This window comes from Homo sapiens, chromosome 3, assembly GCF_000001405.40.
Source record: "Homo sapiens chromosome 3, GRCh38.p14 Primary Assembly".
Taxonomy (NCBI): Eukaryota; Metazoa; Chordata; class Mammalia; order Primates; family Hominidae; genus Homo; species Homo sapiens.
In genome coordinates this window covers 141495073-141517786 of record NC_000003.12, presented here as the reverse complement: position 1 = coordinate 141517786, position 22714 = coordinate 141495073, and the positions used below count along the sequence as shown (strand labels likewise).

Below are 22714 nucleotides of genomic sequence, written 5' to 3'. Positions count from 1 at the left end.
AGCTATTCGGGAGGCTGTGGCAGGAGAATGGCGTGAACCCAGGAGGCGGAGCTTGCAGTGAGCTGAGATCGCGCCACTGAACTCCAGCCTGGGCGACAGAGTGACACTCCGTCTCAAAAAAAAAGAGAAATATATTTATTGGTCACCGATATGGTTTGACTCTGTGTCCCCACGAAAATGTCATGGCAAACTGTAATCCCACTGTTGGAGGAGGGGCCTGGCATAAGGTGACTGAATCATGGGGGCAGACATCCCCTTGCTGCTCTCATGACAGTGAGTTCTCATGAGATCTGGTTATTGTAAAAGTGTGTAGCACATCCCAACTCTCCTCTCTCCTGCCAGCCATGTGAAGATGTGCTTGCTTCCCCTTTGCCTTTCACTCATGTAGGTTTCCTGAGGCCTTCCAGAAGCAGAAGCCTGTACAGCCTGAAAAACTGTGAGCCAATAAACCTATATTCTTTATAAATTACCCAGTCTCAGGTATGTCTTTATGGCAGTGTGAGAATGGACTAATACAGTCACTAATACAGACAGGAAGAAAATGTATAAATAGATTAAAGTGAATTATTACTTCTATTAGAAAAACCTCAACAACAGATGTTCTTTGGAAGGATCAAAACTGCAATCTTTCTATAAAAACATTATTTGAACCACTAAACAAATACTTACCCAACACTTACTAAGTGTAAGGTGCTCCGTAAGAAAGAGTCCCTGCCCGGCCAGGCGTGGTGGCTCATGCCTGTAATCCTAACACTCTGGGAGGCCGAGGCAGGTGGATTTCCTGCAGGAGTTTAAGATCAGCCTGGCCAACATGGTGAAACCCTGTTTCTACTAAAAATACAAAAATTGGCTAGGCGTGGTGGCACACGCCTGTAATCCCAGCTACTCAGGAGGCTGAGACAGGAGAAATCGCTTAACCTGGGAAGTAGAGGTTGCAGTGAGCCAAGATCGCACCACTGCAGTCCAGCCTGGGAGATAGAGCAAGATTCTGTGTCAAAAAAAAAAACAAAAAAAGAGTCCCTGCCCTTTTAAATTTCACATTTAACTAGAGAACCTAGATATGAAACAGCCAACTAATGAATAAGCATAATGAGTACCATGGAAAGGGAACCATCAGGAATTATAAAAACATATGACATAGTGACTAGGGGAGCTGCAAAGGCCTCCCTGAGAAAGTGTCATATAAGCTGAACATACAAATTAAAAATGAAATTTCACAAATGAACATGTAGTCTACAGAAAAAGATCAGAGATGTTGAGCATATATTATTCTGCAATTTTCAAAACTATACTAAGAGAACGAATGAATATAAACATTAACATTGTGATTAAAGATAATTATGAATAGTACATACCTATACGGAGATCTCTTTGTAAAACATTCTTATCATAAACATAGAAAGACAAATACTGGAAAGTTCTTGGAATCTCAAAGTAAAATTCTTCACTGAAAAATGGGCTAGAAAGAAAAGGAAAGCTCATTACTTCAAATAATATAAAATAAATAATAATTAATATCACTTTCAATAATAATTGTATAAATACTCAAATAATATCACTTTCTTTTTTTAATATATATATATTTTATTATACTTTAAGTTCTAGGGTACATGTGCACAACGTGCAGCTTTGTTACATATGTATACATGTGCCATGTTGGTGTGCTGCGCCCATTAACTCATCATTTACATTAGGTATATCTCCTAATGCTATCCCTCCCCCCTCCCCCCACCCCACAACAGGCCCCAGTGTGTGATGCTCCCCTTCCTGTGTCCAAGTGTTCTCATTGTTCAGTTCCCACCTATGAGTGAGAACATGTGGTGTTTGGTTTTTTTGTCTTTGCGATAGTTTGCTGAGAATGATAATATCACTTTTTTTTTTTTTTTTTGAGACAGAGTCTTGCTCTGTTGCCAGGCTGGAGTCCAGTGGCGTGATCTCAGCTCACCACAACCTCCAGCTCCCAGGTTCAAGCGATTCTCCTGCCTCAGCCTCCCGAGTAGCTGGGACTACAGGCACATGCCACCACGCCCAGCTAATTTTTGTATTTTTAGTAGAGATGGGGTTTCACCATGTTGGCCAGGATGGTCTCAATCTCTTGACCTTGCAATCCACCCGCCTCAGCCTCCCAAAGTACTGGGATTACAGGAGTGAGCTAATGTTCCTGGCCAAATAATATCACTTTCAATAAAGTTAATGAAATTATGGACTAAAATGCCATTGAAAAGAATTTGAAAAGCCCCAAAATAATTCTCAATGCTAAATTTCAACTAAGTTCTATACAAACCAAGCTGAACACTGAAGGGATCTAAGTTGCCAGTATGAGTTCTGAACAAATAGCTTTTCAGCAGTCCTGTGGATAGAAGATACAGTAACTGCCTGGGGTCATGCTCACCTAAGGTGGACCATTTGAGAGGTGAGGATAGTGTCATTCATACCATCCTTGTCTTAGAAATGTGTAAAGCTGTATTATTTACAATACATAATACCTAAAACAGCCAATGTTATGTGAAAGGCTACTTCAAAATTTTTTTTTAAATTAAGCTATTTTTAAAAAATTAAAATATGCAATTTTAAAATCAACTTTAAAAAATATTTTTAAAAAATTAAAACAAGGTATTTTTAAATCAGTTTTATTGAGCTATAAGTTACAAACAATAAAAATCCAATTTAAAGTATAGAGGTTGATGACTTCTGATAAATTTATACAACTGTGTAGCTTCCACCCCAATCAAAATAAAGGACACTGCTATCTCCCCAGAAAGTTCTCTTATGCCTCTCCTTCAGTTACCCCATCATACCTGCCCCAACCTGTGATGTGTTTTCTATCACTATACATCTATCCTAAAATCTCACATAAATAGAATCATATAGTATGTACTCATGTCCAGCTTTGTTCATTCAGCTTAATGTCTATGAGATTTTTTCGATGTTGTTGTGTACATAGTAGTTCAACTGTTTTAATTGCTGCATAGTATTCCATTGCATTCCAAATCCATTCGCCTAGTGATGTTATTTGAGTTGTTTCCAGTTTGGGCTATCAAAAGTAAAGCTGCTATGAACATTCTTATATAAAGCTTTTTCTAGACACATGCTTTTGATTACTGAGAATGCAACTGCTGAGTTAAAAGGCAGGTGAATGTGTAATTTACAAGAAACTGTCAAACTGTTTTCAAAGTGGTTGTACTGTTTTACACCCCTAACAGCAATGCTCCAGTTGTTCCACATCTTGGTACTGACAGCCTTTAACTTTAGCTATTCTAGTGAATGTAACATGATAAATGTATACACCTATGTAATCTCTACCTTATAATCAAGATACAAAACATTTTTATCTCCCCAGAAAGTTCCCTTGTGACTCTGCAATCACTCCCACCATATTCTTACAGGCAACCAGTGATATGATTTCTATCACTGCAGATTATGTTCTAGAATCTATAGTGACAAAAATGGTTTTAAATTGATTTCCTGATGACTAACAATGTCCAATACCTTTTCATGTGCTCTTGGCCATATCTTTTCTGAAATATCTGTTTAAGTATTCTCCCCATATTTTAAATGGCCATCGGTCTTCTTTTGAGTTATCAGGGTTTTTGTTTTTAAATAAATTCTGGATACAAGTCTTTTGTCAGAATACTTTCTCCCAGGTGTGGCTTGCCATTTAATTTTCTTGACAGTGTCTTTTAAAGAAAAGGAGCCTCTAAGTTTGATAAAATCTAATTTACCAATTTTCATCTTTTATAATTAGTGGTGCTTCTTGCATTCAAAGCAAGAAATCTTTGCCCATCCTCATGTTGCAAAGCTTATTTTTATAAGTTCATTTTAAGAATGCCATTTTGATATATTTATCCTTCTATGATTCTTCTATGAAGACGCGAATCTCTGAAATGATAGTTTCTTTTGTCAAGTGTACCTCTTTCCTGAGAAAGTTTAAAGAACAAAAAGATTCTCTAGAAATATCGCTATGAAATGCAGTATCTTTATGATGTCATAACTAAATGAGAAGCTGAAATATAAAGTAAAATACTCCTACAGAAGTCATATCTGATCTTGTCTAGAAAACAGTTGGTTCAGCTTTTTAGTTGTTAAAATGCCTGGTGAACTTTTGTCACTATATTTTTCCCTTCAAATGTAACCAAACTAAACTTTTAAAAGTTGGTCTCACAAAGTAACTAGAGCCTTCTAATTAATTTCAACATAGAAATCAATGCAAAAAGAACTATTAGTCAAATATGATATGAAAACATGATATGAAAGACAAGACATGTGTAGGTATGTATCTCTTTGCATTATTTTCTAAACAATTATAAATGCAGAATTTCCTTTATATATCACATCCACATTCAAATATTATGTTTAAAGTACATTCTAAAGCCAAATAAGAACAATATGAGAATTAAGACTAAAGATTTCAAGTTTACTCCTTGAAATGTTTTTGGGCTACTAAAGTATTTTCAGTTTTATACAATACCTTTTCTAAGAAGAATTCAATAGATATTTAAAATTATAAAAAATGAAAATAAAGACATAAAGGGAAACTTCAAAGGCAAATGTAAAAGAAAGATATTTTTTTAAAGGCATAAAAAAAAAAACAGATCCCTAAAATACAACTGACCTAAAATATGATTCAGATAAGGCATGGCATTCAATATTTCATCCACCACATGCTCATTCCAATAATACCCCACACCCTGTTTTTCGTTTTTTTGTTTTTTTTTTTTTTTCTGAGATGGAGTTTCACTCTTGTTGCCCAGGCTAGAGTCCAATGGCATAATCTTGGCTCACTGCAACCTCCGACCCCTGGGTTCAAGCGATTCTCCTGCCTCAGCCTCCCAAGTAGCTGAGATTACAGACACCCAGCACCACGCCCAACTAATTTTTGTATTTTTCGTAGAGACGGGGTTTCACCATGTTGCCCAAGCTGGTCTCGAAATTCTGACCTCAAGTGATCTGCCCGCGTCTGCCTCCCAAAGTGCTGGGATTACAAGCGTGAGCCACCACGCCCGGCCTCCTTATTTTGACTTTTGTCTCTGAACAAGATTCTCAGCACAACTCTGCACTAGAATTATGTTCACATTGCTACGGTGCAGAGGTGGTATATTCCAGTTTTATGAATTAGAATTTAATATGATACTCTCAAAGGGCAATTACACTTTCAAAGATGAGACATCTATCTGAGAATTCATTCCCTGATAATGCACTACTAAGTTAAGCAACTTCTATGAACTTTAAGTAACTTATTCTTTAGATAAATAAAATAAAGATGTACTTTGAGGAAAGTTCAAACGAATAGGCAATATTTAGCCTGTCATGTGAAAAAACTTTTCTCCAGAAAACAAAGATAAAATTAGGAACAATTAAGAGGAAGATACATTTTGAGGCAATGAAAAGCCACATGAAAGCAAGCACTGTTTCTGTCTTGTCTTCTTGATTATTATAATCTGGAAAATGCATAATATTTACCAATCTATATAGTAAAAATTATAATTTACCAATTTTTTCTACCAACCTTAAAGATTTTTCCACAACTTGGGTACGATAAACTTCTTCCTGGTCCAAATTTATGGTACAGAAACAATCTCTCATTTTGTGGGGTCCAAGATATGGCAATAAATTTTTTGCTTCACCTGTTGGCATAAAATTTAAAATTGTTATTAAATATCATCAACTGCTTCATACTAAGCCTTATATAGGATGACTTCAATCTGAAAGAACATATTAATGTGGCACAGAAAAAAAAAAAAACACTAGTGATTACAGAAAGATCAAGCTGGTCTAAAGGAGATTGTTAAGACTGAAGGGAGGGGCTGTGTGTAAAGTGGCTTGAGGTCCCTTTTTTATATTACGTAATTGCATCCCCACTCCTATGAAAGGGTAATCCCTCTACTTGTGCTCTCTATCCCATTCCACCAGTGCTACCTCAAGGACTTTACTCCACAATTAATCTTTCTTTCCCAAATCACCATTAATTTTCCTCTCTAGCGATCATTCCCATCAGCATATAAACGATGATGGGAATTTCTCAACTTAAAAAAACACACAAAAAGAAAAGGAAAAAAAACTTCTTAAAAGCATCATCTCTAGTCGTTGTCTCTTCTTACCTTCCATTCATTCTTCAACCCTCTCCAATCAGCTTCTGACCCCACCATGCCACTAAAACTGCTCTAGCTGAGGACACTAATGCCTTCCACATTGCCAAATCAACGGTCACTTCTCTGTTTTCATCATACCCGGCCTGGCAGCATGATTTAACCCAAGTGAACATAAATATCCCTCTTTAAAATGCTCTCTTCTCTTGGCTTCCACAACACAGTATTTCTGACTTTTCTCCTACGTCACTGGCTCTCTGCTGACTTCTCCCCCTGGCTACCTCTAAACATGCAATGCCTCAATTCCAAACCACCTTCTCTTCCTTCTCTTTGCCAACTCTGCAGTATATGGTGTTAATGCGAACGCCTCCCAGATCTGCAACACCAGGTCTAACCTCTCCTCAACAAACACTAGATGTGACTATTTAACTGTCTCCTTGGATATCCAGTAGGCATTTCAAATTTAACAAGTCCCAGAAAAACCATCTGATTTCTTTCCCCAAGATGTGCCCTTTCCCCAGTCTACCATTTTTCTCTCTTACTCTCACCATCCTCTATTTCCCCAAACTCCCATACCCAGTCTCTTAGCAAATCCAGCAGACCTCCAAAATAAATCCCAAATCCAACCAGTTCTCTTTGCCTTGACCAGAATCACCGAGTCCAAGCCACCACAATCTTTTATTCGAACAAACATGAGAGTTGCCTAACTGGTGCCCCTGCTTCCACTTTTGGCCCTCCTACAATCCATTCTCCATCAAGCAGTGTGATATTTGAAACATATTCTTTAGGTTACTCACTCACTCTCCTCCTCCAATACCACACCATTTCACTTAGAATAAAATTATCTTTCTATACCACAGTCTACAAAGCCCTACTTAATGGTCTCTCTGATCTCTTCTCCTTCCATTCCCCCAACCCCGGTCAGTGTTTAGTTTTTTTCATTCATCAACTGTGCCACACCATGTTCAAGTTTAGGGCTTTTGTCTGGAATGCTACACTCCTAGATATCTTCAATGGCGAGTGCCTTATCATTCAGTCTCAGCTCAAATATCACTAACTCAGAGAAATCTTCCTTGACTATTCTATCTAAAGCACATAGTTCTGCTACCATATTCTATTTCTCCATTTTGTTTCTTTGATAGCACTGATGATTATCTAAATTTCTGTTCATTTTTAATTCAGTGTTTATTTTTTGGTTCCCTCATTCTTGAGGCCCAAGAACTTGTTGATCTTCAAGATCTTAAACAGTGACTGTCATACGGTAGACAGCTGAGAAACATTTGTTGAAGGAATATTAAATAACCTAAAAAGTCTAGTTTTGAAGTTTTGAAGTCCTTTGATACTCTAGCTCAAAGGACATACACAAGTATGGGCGCTGAAATCAGTACACTAGTTCCCTTATGCAATCAGTTGGCATAAGGGAAACAGCATTACCCCAAGAACCATAAAACCAATATTCCTCTCTTACTCTGCTACTAAGTGGCTGTATGACTTCAGACAAATCACTCAATCACAGCTTTCCTGATGAAGGTTTGGACTAGATAAACTCAAGTATCTTTCTGCTTATCAACTTTAAAGGCCATTTAAACCAATATATTTTAGAGAAGTCTATTAGAAACCTAAGAAGCACCTATAAAAAAACTCAGTAAACACATTATTTATAAAATTGAAATAAGAAAACCAATGGAATAGTACCAGTAAGATACTTCTTAAATCTGTCACTAAAAAAATAAAGTTACTACTTAAACAGAATAAACAAATTTAGGTCCATCTCAAGTCAGAATTGAGGAATCTCACCTTTTAAATGATTAATTTAATTAACTGCCTAAAATGGGTTAGTCCTTACAAATAAACCAGGTCACTAAGACAAATAATCTATATCTGAACCGGTATTCATCCATTTTCCTCTTCCTCCAAAGACTAGTTATTCCTCTTCTCATCCAAAGCTCATCCATTTACCTGTGCTCTCTCTACCCCATTCCCTCTTGTCCCTCCAGGACACTGTCTAGCAATTCTATTTTCATTACTTTCAGCCTTCTTGTTCTTCAGTCTCTCCTTTTTCTTTGACGTCTCCCTTCTGCATAATTTAGACTTTTTTTTAAACGAAAGTCCAACTAGGTCGCAATATAGGACCTAAAATATAAAAAATTTGGAATTAGACCATAATAATTTTCTACTTAATAAATATGCTCCATAATAAATATGCTCCATATCTAATTGGGAGAATTTGAAACACTAACTGTCCCTGAACATGTTTCTGTTTCATTCACATAGGTGCAGTTTTGAGAAAACAACATTATATAAATTTACACATATTCTACTTCCCTCTCCCTCTTAAGAGAGAGACAATGAGGTTATTTTGAAGAATCCAATGAACCTGACATTATCAGATATTTATCCAGAATAAATAAAAATGTAAGATCTATGTCATATGAAAAAATGTACCAAGCATCCTTTCCTATAAAAGCAGTTATCATAATCTGTACTTCTTAAATATCCACCAATGACTGAAGTTCAAATAAACTTTGTTGAAAGTTAATTCATCTAATCAATGCCCGGCTCAACAATCAATTGTACAAATATGTTAAGTCAGATACTGTAACTCCAAACTATAGTAGTGATTAATTGGCACTTTATAAACAACATAATCAAAAAGGAAGTAATGGTTACAGATATAATAAAAGTAATATTGTGCCTATTATATCTCTAAGCATAAAGAGAATATGTTAAGAGCCACACTTTACATCAAGCTACACAAAAAGACAAAAGTGAAGAACTTTGGAAGACTGTACTTGCTTGTGTGTGATATTTGTTCAGGGCCTCATGAACTCTAGCCAATTCTGGTATATAAATGAGCATGCGCCTTGGACCAAAAAAAAAAAAAATCCATTGCCAAATTTCTTGAAAACTTATTCTATAATCTCTCCTTTCAAGTGCTCCCTTCAACTCACAGCCTAAACCTGCAACTTGCCCTCTTATCCTACTTCTCTACTTCTTGTTTAGAACCTTGAAGAACACTAACAGGCTGGGCGCAGTGGTCATGCCTGTAATCCCAACACTTTGGGAGGCCAAGGTGGGCAAACTGCTTGAGAACAGGATTTTGAAACCAGCCTTGGCAACATGGTGAGATCTCATCTCTACTAAAAATACAAAAAATTAGCCAGGCGTGGTGGTGCATGCCTGTGGTCCCAGCTACTTGGGAGGCTGAGGTGTGAGGATGGCTTGAGCCCAGGGGATGGGAGTTGCAGTGAGCTGCCACTGCACTCCAGCCTGGGACAAAAGAGCAAGACCCTGTCTCAATAGTAAAGAAAGAAAAAAAAAACCCAAAAAACCACTAATATTAAGTGCCCAAATCGTAACACTGCTTTTCAGTCCCACCTTATTTGACCACTCTTCATTATTTGACAACACTAACCTTTCCTCAGCTCAGGTAACCTTGTATGAGGGTTTTTCTTATACTCCCTCTTTTGGTCTTTTTATCCACTAACCACATCTTAAACGTGAGGAAACTTTCGGTATCCACAGACCACTTAATTCATCATAGAGGTGAAGGACAAATTCTAGTTTTTTTTTTAATGTAGTCATTATAAAACAATAAAAATATACAAAGAAACAAATGAGTTTCTCAACATTGTTTGACGGTATTATTTATAAACTTTCTCAACTTATCTATAGCCCGTTTAATGACAGCCAGCCTTAAGGAGAACCAGGTTCTAAACCTGCAGTAAATATGGTAGATTACTGTTCACATCCATTTCAACCTCCTTCAGTGTATGTCTTCCTGTGCTGCAGAGAAGAGAAAGTTAAAAAATACATTTCCCAGCCTCTCTTGTGGCTACAGTTGTAAATGTGATTTAAGTTCCACCAACCAGATGCACTCACTAGAAATTTCAAGGACAGAAGAGAAGGGAGGTTGAGTTTGGGTTGTTTTACTAGCAAACATTGTCATGGAGATGTTCATGTTCACAGCAGTATTTGTTGAAGTCCTAGTATTCAGTCACAGATTTCATGAATATTAAGAAAGGCACAAGGCATCCATTCTGCAGTACAGGTTGTGGTAGGCAGGGCTTGGCTCTAGGGCCAGCAACAACAACGGCTTACTGAGGAAGGTGGCTGCTTGCTAATGGCTATTTCCTAACAGTAGTAGACTCCTGATCATGGCAGAGGTGGTAAGGTTCTAAGACAGGCATCTAAAAGTTACAGTTTCACAATTCTGCAAAAGTCTTTCTGATCCTAAAAGAGGCAATAACTCTCTTGGTGGCCTAGATGCAACATGGCTTTTTCTAGATCTAGAGTCTGTTTCTTCAGCCTTGTCAACAATTTTGTAAGCCACTTAAAATTTTTTTATTAAAGCTCTTTCTGCTTAAACTAACTAGAGTTGATGCTGTCACCTAATCTCAATTCTTTTCTAACCTTTGTTTCCAACAAATTAGAAAATCCCACTTTGAGTTACTGGTCATCATGGTTGGGTAAATCCACCGGCTACACGTGGCTATCTGGATCAAACATGGACACAGAAATTACCAAGCAATTTTTCACTGAAAATTATTTTCATTGTTCCATCAGATAGTGAGTTGAATAGCAGCACACTTAAAAAGGGAATCCTTTAACTTGGGAAATGGATCTTAACTCCATATATAGTTGTATCTACCTTCACAAAATATTTCTTCATCTTCTGTAGCATTTGGATAAAATTTTAAAAATATATTCAATAATACAGTATTCATATTTTCATGAATTTGGAATGCCAAATTCTTTTTTCTTTTTCTTTTTTTTTTTTTTTTTGAGACAGGGTCTCGCTCTGTCGCCCACGCTGGAGTGCAGTGGCACAATCATGGCTCACTGCAGCCTCGCCTTCCTGGACTCACGTGATTCTGTCACCTCAGCCTCCCGAGTAGCTGGGACTACAGACACATACCACCATGCCTGACTAATTTGCTTTGTATTTTATGGAGAGGCAGGGTTTTGCCATGTTGCCCAGGCTGGTCTTGAACTCCTGGGTTCAAGAGATCTGCCTGCCTTGGCCTCCCAAAGTGCTGGGATTATAGGCGTGAGCTACCATGCCTGGCTGGGAGTGCCAAATCCAAATTCTTAACATTCAAATCGTGTGCACCATTTTGGGTGCCTCTATTTTATCCTTAAATTCACAAATCATAGTTTGACCCTAAATTAATAAGAATAAAGTATTCAAGAAATTCAATATATTGCTAAGATATGACACAAGCAAGCCAGCTGAAATAATAAAAATGGTTTTTACTTGCATTTGAATGAAAGGAAGAAATGTTTTTATAGTTCATCCCTCATTTCAAAAATTCTGTGCATGCGGAGTCCTGCAATATGCAAAAGCAGACATTTGTCCTACAAAGGCAGATACATTGTTCCCACAGCAAACAGTATAGATTTGATTGTGTGTACAACTGTCACTATTTCCTTCAACAATAAATCAAGATCAGGAGGTATATCAATGACAACCAACTGTTCCTCTACGAAGAAAGGAGGTTGACATTCAAGCACAATTTATTTTATTCTGTAACATCTTTTCTTGTTGATTCATAACTGGTACTCCTTAAGCACTTTTCTAGTGTACATTACGACTTACAACATAACTGTTAACTAATTTTTTAAAGTCTTCTTTCTTAAAGGGTGGATTTTCAAAGACAAACAGAATAATCCTCCATTGTGCATTTCTTCTCTTTCACAAATGTACTGCAAGTATGCCAAGAACATCTTCCCACTATACATCCATGATTTTGTCCAAATATAAAATGAAATATCCTCTCGCCCACATGTGATAGTAATTGTTTTTCTACATCATATCTTCCTAAATCATACATATCTTAAATAAAATGCTGTGTTTAGCTTTGATACTCAACCTTCACAATGTTGCTAGTTACCTTTTTAATACGTACACACACACACACACACAAACACAGAGACACGTATAAATAAATATAAATAAAACATCCCTTGCTTAGAAGTCTTCAATGGCTCACACTATCTACCACTGCCCACTTGACAGGACAAAATCTAAAATTCCTTAGTCTGGCACAAAAACCCTCCATCCCTCCATGATCAGGTGCTATCTACTACATGTTCAACCTCATCTAGTTCATCTTTACCCCCACAAATTATGCTGTAGCAGTACTATATTTTAGTTCCTTGAACACACTGTTCTCTCATTCCTCTGTGTATCTGCAATGCTATTTTCTTTGTATGAAATGCCCTACCTGTTTTTCTCTCCAAAGAGCTCTGCTTAAGGGCATCTTTGCAAAGTCTTCCTCAATTCCTATGTAGTCATGTCACTCTTTCCCATGTGTTTCTACTGTACCTTGCATCTCTACTACAGTGATCATATTGTTTTGTACTTGTTGCATTTCACTCAACAAATATTTACTAAGTGCCTAAACACACGAGGCACTGTTCTAAGTGCTGGGGATATAACAGTGAATAAAAACAGGTCTCTGCCCATACGAAACTGTTGTACAATATATACAGGGACGACAAATACCACAAACTCTTAAATAAGCATATAGTATTTATTGTCATGGAAGAAATAAATATTTATTGCTATTCAAGAAAACAAAGCAGGTTAAGAGAGTTAGGGAATGGCAGGCCCAGAGGGTAGAGACAGGGAGGAGGTCAATGTTATTTTATATAGGGAAGCAGGGAAGGCCTTTCAATTAAAATATTTAAGCAGATACCTGAAGGAAGTCATTGAGGGTATAAGCCATACAGATATCTGGGGAAGGAGACGGACAGGCAGAAAGAATAAAATGTGCAAAGGCCCTGAGACAGGATAGTTTGGCACACTGGAGGAGTGGCAAGGAGGGCAGTATGGCTACAAAGCAATAAGCAAAGTGGGGAGAGGGAGGAGATAGTAAGAGATGGAGTAAGGGTATGGGAGGAGACAGGTTAAATAAGGTCTTACAGGCACGGGAAAGTCTTAGGCTTTTTTTGTGTGTCAGATGGTAAGGTTTTGAAGGATTTTCAGCATAAAAATGGCAAGATTTTTTGTTTTAAAATCAGTGCAGAGGGGAAAGGTAGAAGCAGGTGACTAGATAGGAGGCTACTGTAGTAATCTCAATGAGCGAAAACTTGCAGGTCAGGGGAGGGGCAGAGCAGACACGGGTCTGGAGAGAATGGGTCATTTGGGCATGTATTTTGAAGATGGAGCCAACAGGATTTACTGCAGGGTGTGAGAAATAGAGTAGTCAAGAATGACTTCTAAGAGTCTTAGTCTGAGCAGCTGGATGAATAGAGATGCTATTTCTAGAGACACAGCCTCTTGTTGGGGACCAAATTCAAGAGACTGTATTGAATATTAAATCTGAGATGCCTTATACATCCAAGTGCAGACAATCTGTCCAAGGACAAAGGGTCCTAGATAGAGAAAAAATTTGAGAATCATCAGTAAGTACATAAAATTTACAAAACCAAGAGACAATACAAAATCACAATGGGAGCAAATATAGAAAAGAAATTTGAAGACTGAGCCTCAGGGCTCTCTAATGTTTTGAGGTGGTAAAGATGAGACACAACCAAGCAAAAGCAGTTTGGTTGTCTCTTCACTGAACTATAAACTTCTTGAGGAAGGGGACCAATTCTTAGCACCATCCTTAGCATAAAATATATAATGAAACAGCTGCTGAATAAGTATCAATGCGTGTGTATATAACTTTGGCATGGGCAAAAAAGAGGTTCCAATACCACATCACAAACCATAAAATTGTATGTAAACTTCTTTTTTCCATTTCATTTAAGTTGATTTATGTCAACTACTCCAAAGATTTTTTAAAAAGTCTCCTGTATACAGTTACCAAAAGCACTTAAAGAATCTTTATTGTATTAATACAGAGACGTTTTGAAAATAAACCAGTGCTGAAGTTCACACATTCAAATATTTACTGAGTACCTACTAAGCTGCTAGGATATGACAGTGAGCAAAACAGACAAAAAGTCTGTGTCCTTATTAGGCTAACACACATGGAGAGATCGACAACAAATAAGATAAATAAGTAAAAATGTATGGCCTAATACTAATAAGTATGGGCACCACAAGAAATGAGGTAGCTCAAGGAAGGCTTCATTGAGAAAGTAACTTCTGCATAAATACCTGAAAAAAGAGGAGAGACATGTAACTATAGAAAACAGCAGCTTTTAGATATTGTTAAAAAGTAAATAGTTTAAAGCGCGAAAGATAAACACCATCAAATCAAAACTGTTAAGATTAACAGAAATGGAAAAACAGCCAACTCTCTATGTACAAGATCAATGATTCCATGTAACAGTCATCAGACAGTAAATTCAAATCCTACCATATAAATTTTATCTAGGACAAAAATTCCAATATCAGGCTACTATCAAAGGTAGAGATTCTGATGTATATGCTTCTGTTCATGTATGTGAGTATGTACATATGTGAGTATGTACCTATGTGCCTATGTGGATGTTTGAGGATTATGTGCATGCATTTATACCTGAAGGTTTGCATGTATGTTTCTTCATGTCCTAGGGGAGGACACTACAGGGATAAGACAGAAAAGAAGATAAAGATTTATTAAGTAGTTAGATGCTCCAAGACAGTGTTAAATATTTTCTCAAATGTTTCATTTGATCGGTACGACAACCCTGTGAGATAAGCATTACTATTCCCTTTCATAAATTAAGAAAAAAAAATTCAGTTACATAGCTGGTAAGGTTATCTGGCATAAATCAAACTCCAAAGCCTAGAGTCTTTCTATTCAACTCTTAAGGTCTTTCTGAATACAGCTGTGCTGAGAAACTATTCCCATCTGAAAGAGATGTAGTAGGTCCAGGTCTGCTTCAAAGGTTACCTGAAGTACAAGGGTAGGCGCCAACATGGGTCCCAGTGGGATTAATCCCCTAGAAAAACTGCAAAGAGCCAGGGTCCTGGACAAGATGATCCAAAGTTAAGGATTATTTGGGGTGACAGAAAGCCAAATCATAATAATAGCTACCACTTACTGAATAAATTAATACATGTATTACACAGATTTTTCATTGACTTCATATATATTATTTTACTTAATCTTCACAATAACTCTTCTGAATGATATATATTTTCAAAATACAGAAATTGGGGATCGGAGGATAACGTTCCAGGAGGAAGGCATAACATGAACAAGTTCTGGAGGGTGGCAACAAGAAGAGCACCATCGAGGAGGCAGTGAATAGTATAAACTGACTAAAGCATAAAGAGAGATGAAGGGGGAATGAGAGGGAAAAGATTATAAAGGACAGCTAGTATCAAACAGAGAACCTAAAATGCCAAGCTAAGGTTTAACTTTATTCAGTAGGCAACAAGGGTCGCTAAAAGTTTCTGTGTGGTTCATACTTCAGGAAAAGTACTCTGATAGTCTGAAGAGCCTACATTAAGGTAACAAAGGGAGATAGGAGGAAAGAAAAAATAGAAGAGCTACTATGGAGACAGAATCCACAGAATTTGGCATTAACTGGCTTGAATGACTCAGGACATAATGTTCTAATACAGATCGAATATCCCTTATCTGAAATGCTTAGGACCAGAAGTATTTCAGATTTCAAATGTTTTTACATTTTGAAATGTTGCATTATATATACTTACCAGTTGTGCATCCCAAATCTGAAAATCTGAAATGCTCCAATGAGTATTTCCTTTGAGAATCATGTTGGTGCTCAGTTTTGCATCCTGGAGCATTTGGAATTTTGGACTTTGAAATTTGGAATGCTCAACCAGTAATAGAAATATCAACCTAAACAGAACAGTAGAACTTCAGGAGATGAAAAGATATAAAATATGCACATTTTGTCATTTACATTCACAACAACAACAAAAAAAAAAGAGTGAGAAAGAATGAATCTAATGCACATTTAAAAATATGATATAGTCTCTGGTATTGACTAGTTTAGAGTAAAATTAAAATGCTGTTGTGCCAATCTAATTCCATATAAATAAGACAACCCTATATAATGGTAATATATCATAAGGTCTTTGAAATTTTCTTCTAAAGTTTAATTTCAATTTTTGCAATATGATAAAAGGTATGCATAATTATAAAAACATATACAGTACTAGTATAGTATAGCAAGTTAAATGAATGCATTACAGAGGCAGACATCTGCGTTTCAACATGAACTTTGCATTTAACTATCTGTATGTCCTTACTCTCAACCTCTTATGTAAAAAGAGGTAACTATAATGCTTCAAGATTGTTGTGAGCATTAACTAAGGTAAAGCGCTTGGCACAATGCCTAAGACAGAGTAAATATTCAATGGATAGTAACTATTAGTGCCCTTTCTTGGCTAGACATTCTTAAAAATTAGCATCTATATACAATTCCCTTCATCCAAGCCATTAGCTCCTGACCAAAAATAACCTGTAATATAACAACTGGGTATAACAGAGGAGGTCATTGTTTAAAATGAGTCCTTTGTTACAGAATCAATGGATTTCTATTATAGGAAATACATGGAAACACGTCCAACCTTTATACCTCAAGCTCCACATCTCTAAAATGAGGATACAAATCTGAGGTTGGCTAGCCAGAGATTTGTTTGGCCTGCACCAAATTTAAAAAATAATTTGTGACCATCTAGAAACTGAGAGCTAACAATAAATAAATTTGTATTTCTGGTTTCTCTTTAATAATCAAAATCTGGCAAAATGATTTTGAGTGGAAACTGCAGACAGGTGTATCTTACTAAATCATAATAATCTCTGCTGGGCTTTACTGCATTATACCTGGTCTGTGTATATTTGAGTTTGCAACTCCTTAGCCAGTTAATCTTCTAGGTTCTCTATAGCTCTAAAATCTGAGAGACAAAAAAAATAAAAAATAAAAAAATAAAATCTGAGAGACAACACTTGAAATTTAAAAAGCACAGAGTAACACTGATTTCTAATGCTTTCAGATATTAACACTTATTGCCAGTTTAACCTGATGAACACTACAAGAACTGGATATACATGTAAGTATGAATACTCCAGTACATTTCTATCAAATAAGTTATCCATTAAGAAAACTATGAAAAGATACTTTATGAGTATCACTACTGCTCATGTTAGAACCAACACTTAACTGAGCACAAAATGCCAGGCAGTATACCGAGTCATTTAACCTTTTCACAACTATGCTATATGATTAGTAAAACTACTATTCCTAATTTGTAGACAAGGAAGCTGAGGCTCAGAGAGGTTAAGTGATTAGTAGAAAAGTAGCAGAAAACCATGCTTTAAACATGCTACCTTAGCCTTTATCATTTAATCAGTTTTCACACACTTAAAAAATATTTTGTATATAATAAATCTTACACAAGAAAAAAACACTCCCATTGATTTATCTTTAACAGTTCTGAATGGAGAAAGGAAGAGAAGAACTGTCTTTATCACACATGACCTTCCAAAGAGTCTCAAATTTACCCCCTTCAGAGTACATCAGATTGCTGCAGGGTATGAAGAAACAAAAACAAAAAAAGGAGGGGGGACTGTCAAGAACTACTGAAAAGAAAAAAGTTATGTAGCTGTTATTTCCTTCCTTAGTGGCTCCTTAACTGTCATCTTGAAAACACCACTGGAAAGTTACACATTTGTGACATTAATCAGACAGAGAATGAGAAATAGTACCAATAGGCATATGGTGACTGCTGGAATATCTACCACTAAGCAGAGTTTTCCAATGCATAAATTAACATGGTGAGATAACTCAGTTGTCAAGCAATTTTCCTCACTCCTGGCAAATGACTTGTATCTGTAAAATAATCCAAGAGTCTATAATCCCACTCGATTGGTAATCTTTAAAAAAACAACACATTGGCCAGGCACGGTGGCTCATGCCTGTAATCCCAGCACTTTGGGAGGCCGAGGTGGGCGGGTCAGGAGATCGAGACCATCCTGGCTAACATGGCGAAATGCCGCCTCTACTAAAAACACAAAAATTAGCTGGATGTGGTGGCGTGCACCTGCAGTCCCAGCTAATCGGGAGGCTGAGGCAGGAGAATTGTCGAACCTGGGAGGTGGAGGTTGCAGTGAGCTGAGATCGCACCACTGCACTCCAGCCTGGTGACAGAGGGAGACTCCGTCTCAAAAAAAAAATCAACACATTAAATAACTCCTACCAGAAATCTGGTTCTGCCTAAGAACAAGGCACTATGATAAAATGAGGTAGTACCAGTGAGCAAACACTTGAGTGGGCACAGGACTCTAGGAATATGACACAGTTTGGGTGGCTAGCCGAGACTCAGTGAAGCAAAGAACTGTTTTTTCGTGTGTGTGTGTGTGGCTATAAAACCTGAACTATATATAAGTACAATTCCACATAAATAAGGCAATCCTGTATAGTGGTATTATATCACAAGGGTTTTTGTGGGTATAAAACCTGAACTATATATAAGTACAATTACACATAAGTAAGACAATGGCTAGTGACAAGACAAAGTCAAAGTAAACGCATAAATACCACTGCAACTCCTCAGTGATAAAGTCTACAGAACATAATCGGGGCTAGTTGCTGCATGGAAGTCATGTGCACAATAACTATCATACAGTTATCTACACTGCTATCATATTAATCACTTTTCACTGAAGCTTAATCTAGAACAAGAAGTTAGGAAACTACTATACACGAAAAGGCAAGTTTCACAAGGTATTGCCAGGAAGTGTCTATGGGTTATATAGATACGTCACCAAGTTGCGGGCAGGATCTTCCTGTGGTTTGCCTTGCCCACTTCCGGTTTCAGTTTTGAATGTGTGCTGATCTACAAGCTCCCTACAGACCCCTTCCTCAAGTGGCAAACCAAACTCTGAAGTACATATGGCAGGAATCTCTTCTGGGCTAAGCCAATGGTACCTATAGCTACAAGAAGCTTAGCAAGGCTACCAAGGTGACCAAGAGAGCCTGGTATGACAAACAAAAGGAAGGCAAAAAGCCAGGTGCTGGCAGAACTCAGGGCTACATGGACAGGCTATATATGGGATATGGCTGTTATTTCTGGTGACAGCATCCAGGGGGCCAAAATAGGATTCATATTGATCTTCGCCCCCCCTCCACAAAAAAAAGACACCTAGACACATAAAGAAGTTACACCCATGAGCATATAAAGGTGTGTATGTGTATATCTGTGTGTGTGTATGTATGTGTGTACACATATCCAAGAACCACTCAAAAGTACATACAAACCCACATAAGCAGTTAGGCAGCTAAAATAATTACATTCATGAACCCCCAAAACAGGCCAGAAGATAAATTCTTATGGCATTCAAACATCATAATTTTATTGAATATCCACTACATTAGACCATAGCCAATTTAGGAGTAATTATCAACTTCTTGACAACATAAATGTATTCATCAATTCCTTCCAATATATCATCTCACAGGCAGCTTTGTAGAGAAAGGGATGTGGGCTTTGGTAACATAAAGACTTTCTGAAAACTTGGCTCTGCTCCCTTACAATCCTGAGCAAATAACCTCTGTCTGTTGCTTCTTCTCTAAAATAGGAATAACAATCTTCTTCATGAAATTGGATTACATGAAATATTTTGCAAAGTATCCTAACACAACATCTGGAAACCAGGAAATACTCAATAAACATTAGTTCACCCCATCTACCAAGAATATTTTATATAAAACTGTAAAATTCAAAACTAAAATTCTGTACCACTCACACAAATGTCATATTTTAAAGGATCCAAAATTTTCAGACCCTTTTTACCACATTTCTCTGAAACAATGTATTAAAATTTTAAAAAGTTTTTCTAACATAAACAATTAGTCAAACAGGCAAAGTATATAAGAATTTGCTGTATTATTTCTACTTTTTTTTTTTTTTTGAGACAGGGTCTCACTTTGTCACCCAGGCTGGAGTGCAGTGGTGCGACCTCAGCTCACCGCAGCCTCAACCTCCTGGGCTCAAGTGATTCTCTGGCCTCAGCATTCCAAGTATTAATAGCTAGGGCTGAAGACACACACCACTATGCCTGGCATTTTTTTTTTTTTTTCGTTTGTAGAAACGGAGTTTTGCCATGTGGCCCAGGCTGGTCTCAAACTCCTGAGCTCAAGCCATCCACCCTCCTCAGCCTATTCTTACAATTTGTAAGTTTGAAATTATATCAAAAGTTACCAAAAAAACTTAACAGAAAAGTTGACTTTATTTCTTCTATAGCACTCAAAATGTTACAAAACCTAACATTTGATTACTCTTGTTTTGCAGATAGGATAGTCTTCCAAAGTAGAGCAACAGAGACTGGCACAGCTTAAGATTAATACTGTATCAAGTTCATTTATATAAATAGTTACTTTTGATAATATAATATATAAATATACTCCCTATAGGAAATCAAACCATTACAGATAAGGCTAACTCGCTCTTTTTTTTTTTTTATTATACTTTACGTTTTAGGGTACATGTGCACAATGTGCAGGTTTGTTACATATGTATACATGTGCCATATTGGTGTGCTGCACCCATTAATTCGTCATTTACATTAGGTATATCTCCTAATGTTATCCCTCCCCCCTCCCCTCTCCCCCCACCCCACGACAGGCCCCGGTGTGTGATGTTCCCCTTCCTGTGTCCAAGTGTTCTCATTGTTCAATTCCCACCTATGAGTGAGAACATGTGGTGTTTGGTTTTTCGTCCTTGTGATAGTTTGCTGAGAATGATGGTTTCCAGCTTCATCCATGTCCCTACAAAGGACATGAATTCATCCATTTTTATGGCTGCATAGTATTCCATGGTGTATATGTGCCACATTTTGTTAACCCAGTCTATCACTGATGGACATGTGGGTTGGTTCCAAGTCTTTGCTATTGTGAATAATGCCGCAATAAACATACGTGTGCATGTGTCTTTGTAGCAGCATGATTTATAATCCTTTGGGTATACACCCAGTAATGGGATGGCTGGGTCAAATGGTATTTCTAGTTCTAGATCCCTGAGGAATCGCCACACTGACTTCCACAACAGTTGAACTAGTTTACAGTCCCACCAACAGTGTAAAAGTGTTCCTATTTCTCCACATCCTCTCCAGCACCTGTTGTTTCCTGACTTTTTAATGATCGCCATTCTAACTGGTGTGAGATAGTATCTCATTGTGGTTTTGATTTGCATTTCTCTGATGGCCAGTGATGATAAGCATTATTTCATATGTCTGTTGGCTGCATAAATGTCTTCTTTTGAGAAGTGTCTGTTCATATCCTTCACCCACTTTTTCATGGGGTTGTTTTTTTCTTGTAAATTTGTTTGAGTTCTTTGTAGATTCTGGATATTAGCCCTTTGTCAGATGAGTAGATTGCAAAATTTTTCTCCCATTCTGTAGGTTGCCTGTTCACTCTGATGGTAGTTTTTTTTGCTGTGCAGAAGCTCTTTAGTTTAATGAGATCCCATTTGTCAATTTTGGCTTTTGTTGCCATTGCTTTTGGTGTTTTGGACATGAAGTCCTTGCCCATGCCTATGTCCTGAATGGTATTGCCTAGGTTTTCTTCTAGGGTTTTTACGGTTTTAGGTCTAACATTTAAGTCTTTAATCCATCTTGAATTAATTTTTGTACAAGGTGTAAGGAAGGGTTCCAGTTTCAGCTTTCTACACATGCCTAGCCAGTTTTCCCAGCACCGGCTAACTCCCTTTATCCACCATTGAGGCAATCACTGTTATCTGTACAACTGTTCAGACCTCTTTTTATGTATTTATCCATCTACATGCAGAAAAGTAAAATGTTTTGAGATTTAAAACAATACACAGGATACTACACATATTATTCTACAACTTGCTGTTTTTACCCAACAAGACATCCTGGAGTTCTTTCCTTTCATAACATAGATATACCTCATTCTTTTTAGTTGCTATAGAATACGTGTATGAACATATTATCCATTTTCCTACCGATGTACATTTAAGTCGTCTCCAATTATTCTGTTTTACCAACAAGGCAACATTGAATATCTTTGTATATGCCTCTTCTCTAAATGTACAACTGTTGATGCAGGGCAAATAGGTAGAAGTAAAAATGCATGGTGTATAGACATTTAAATTCTTAACAGATATAGCCAAAATGCTCTCCAACATTGCTTTATCAATTTAAACTCACAACAACAATGAGGAAAATACTTATTTCCCTAAACCCTCACCAAAGACTGAGATAAACTTTCCTTTTTTTGTAAATTGATGTTTTAAAATTTTATTTCCCTGATTAATTTTTACTTTACCAATATTTTCATGTTTACTGGACATTTGTATTTCCTTTCCTGTGAGATGCCTATTCGTATCCTTTATTTTTCTAATGGCCTCTTGTTTTTAAGTCTGTATGAATTATTTATATAATCTGGACATAATAAATAGAGAGGCATAATAGCACAGTAGGTTAAGAGTTAACAGGATGGACTCTAGAGCCAATCTGCCCAGTCTGATTGATAGCTCCACCATTCACCAGCCATCTAACCTTGGTCAATTTACTTAGCTTAGCTATTGTGTATCTGTTTCCTCATAATGTGTAAAATGGGGATAATAATGGTATTTTTAGAGTTACTGTAAGGATTAAATTAGTTAATACGCATAAAGTGCTTTAAAACAGTGCCTGGCAAAGAATTCAGTGTTATACACATTTCCTTTGTCTGAAGGATACACTGCAAAT

General features: G+C 37.0%; 1 protein-coding gene across 6 annotated transcripts in view; it reads right to left on the bottom strand.

Annotated features, from left to right (window-relative positions):
• Positions 1-22714, bottom strand: part of RASA2 (RAS p21 protein activator 2) — a 128318-nt gene that overhangs the window by 97558 nt on the left and 8046 nt on the right. For 4 of the 6 annotated variants that reach the window (NM_001303245.3, NM_001303246.3, NM_006506.5 and 1 more), the window contains exons 2-3: positions 5507-5624; positions 1356-1459 (exon numbers count right to left, since the gene is read on the bottom strand). In NM_001303245.3, the coding sequence (NP_001290174.1) occupies positions 1356-1459; positions 5507-5624 (222 nt within the window). Of the gene's footprint in view, positions 1-1355; positions 1460-5506; positions 5625-8045; positions 8220-11347; positions 15643-22714 lie in introns of those variants that run through there. The other 2 variants (XM_011513059.3, XM_024453691.2) reach the window with 2 other exon arrangements.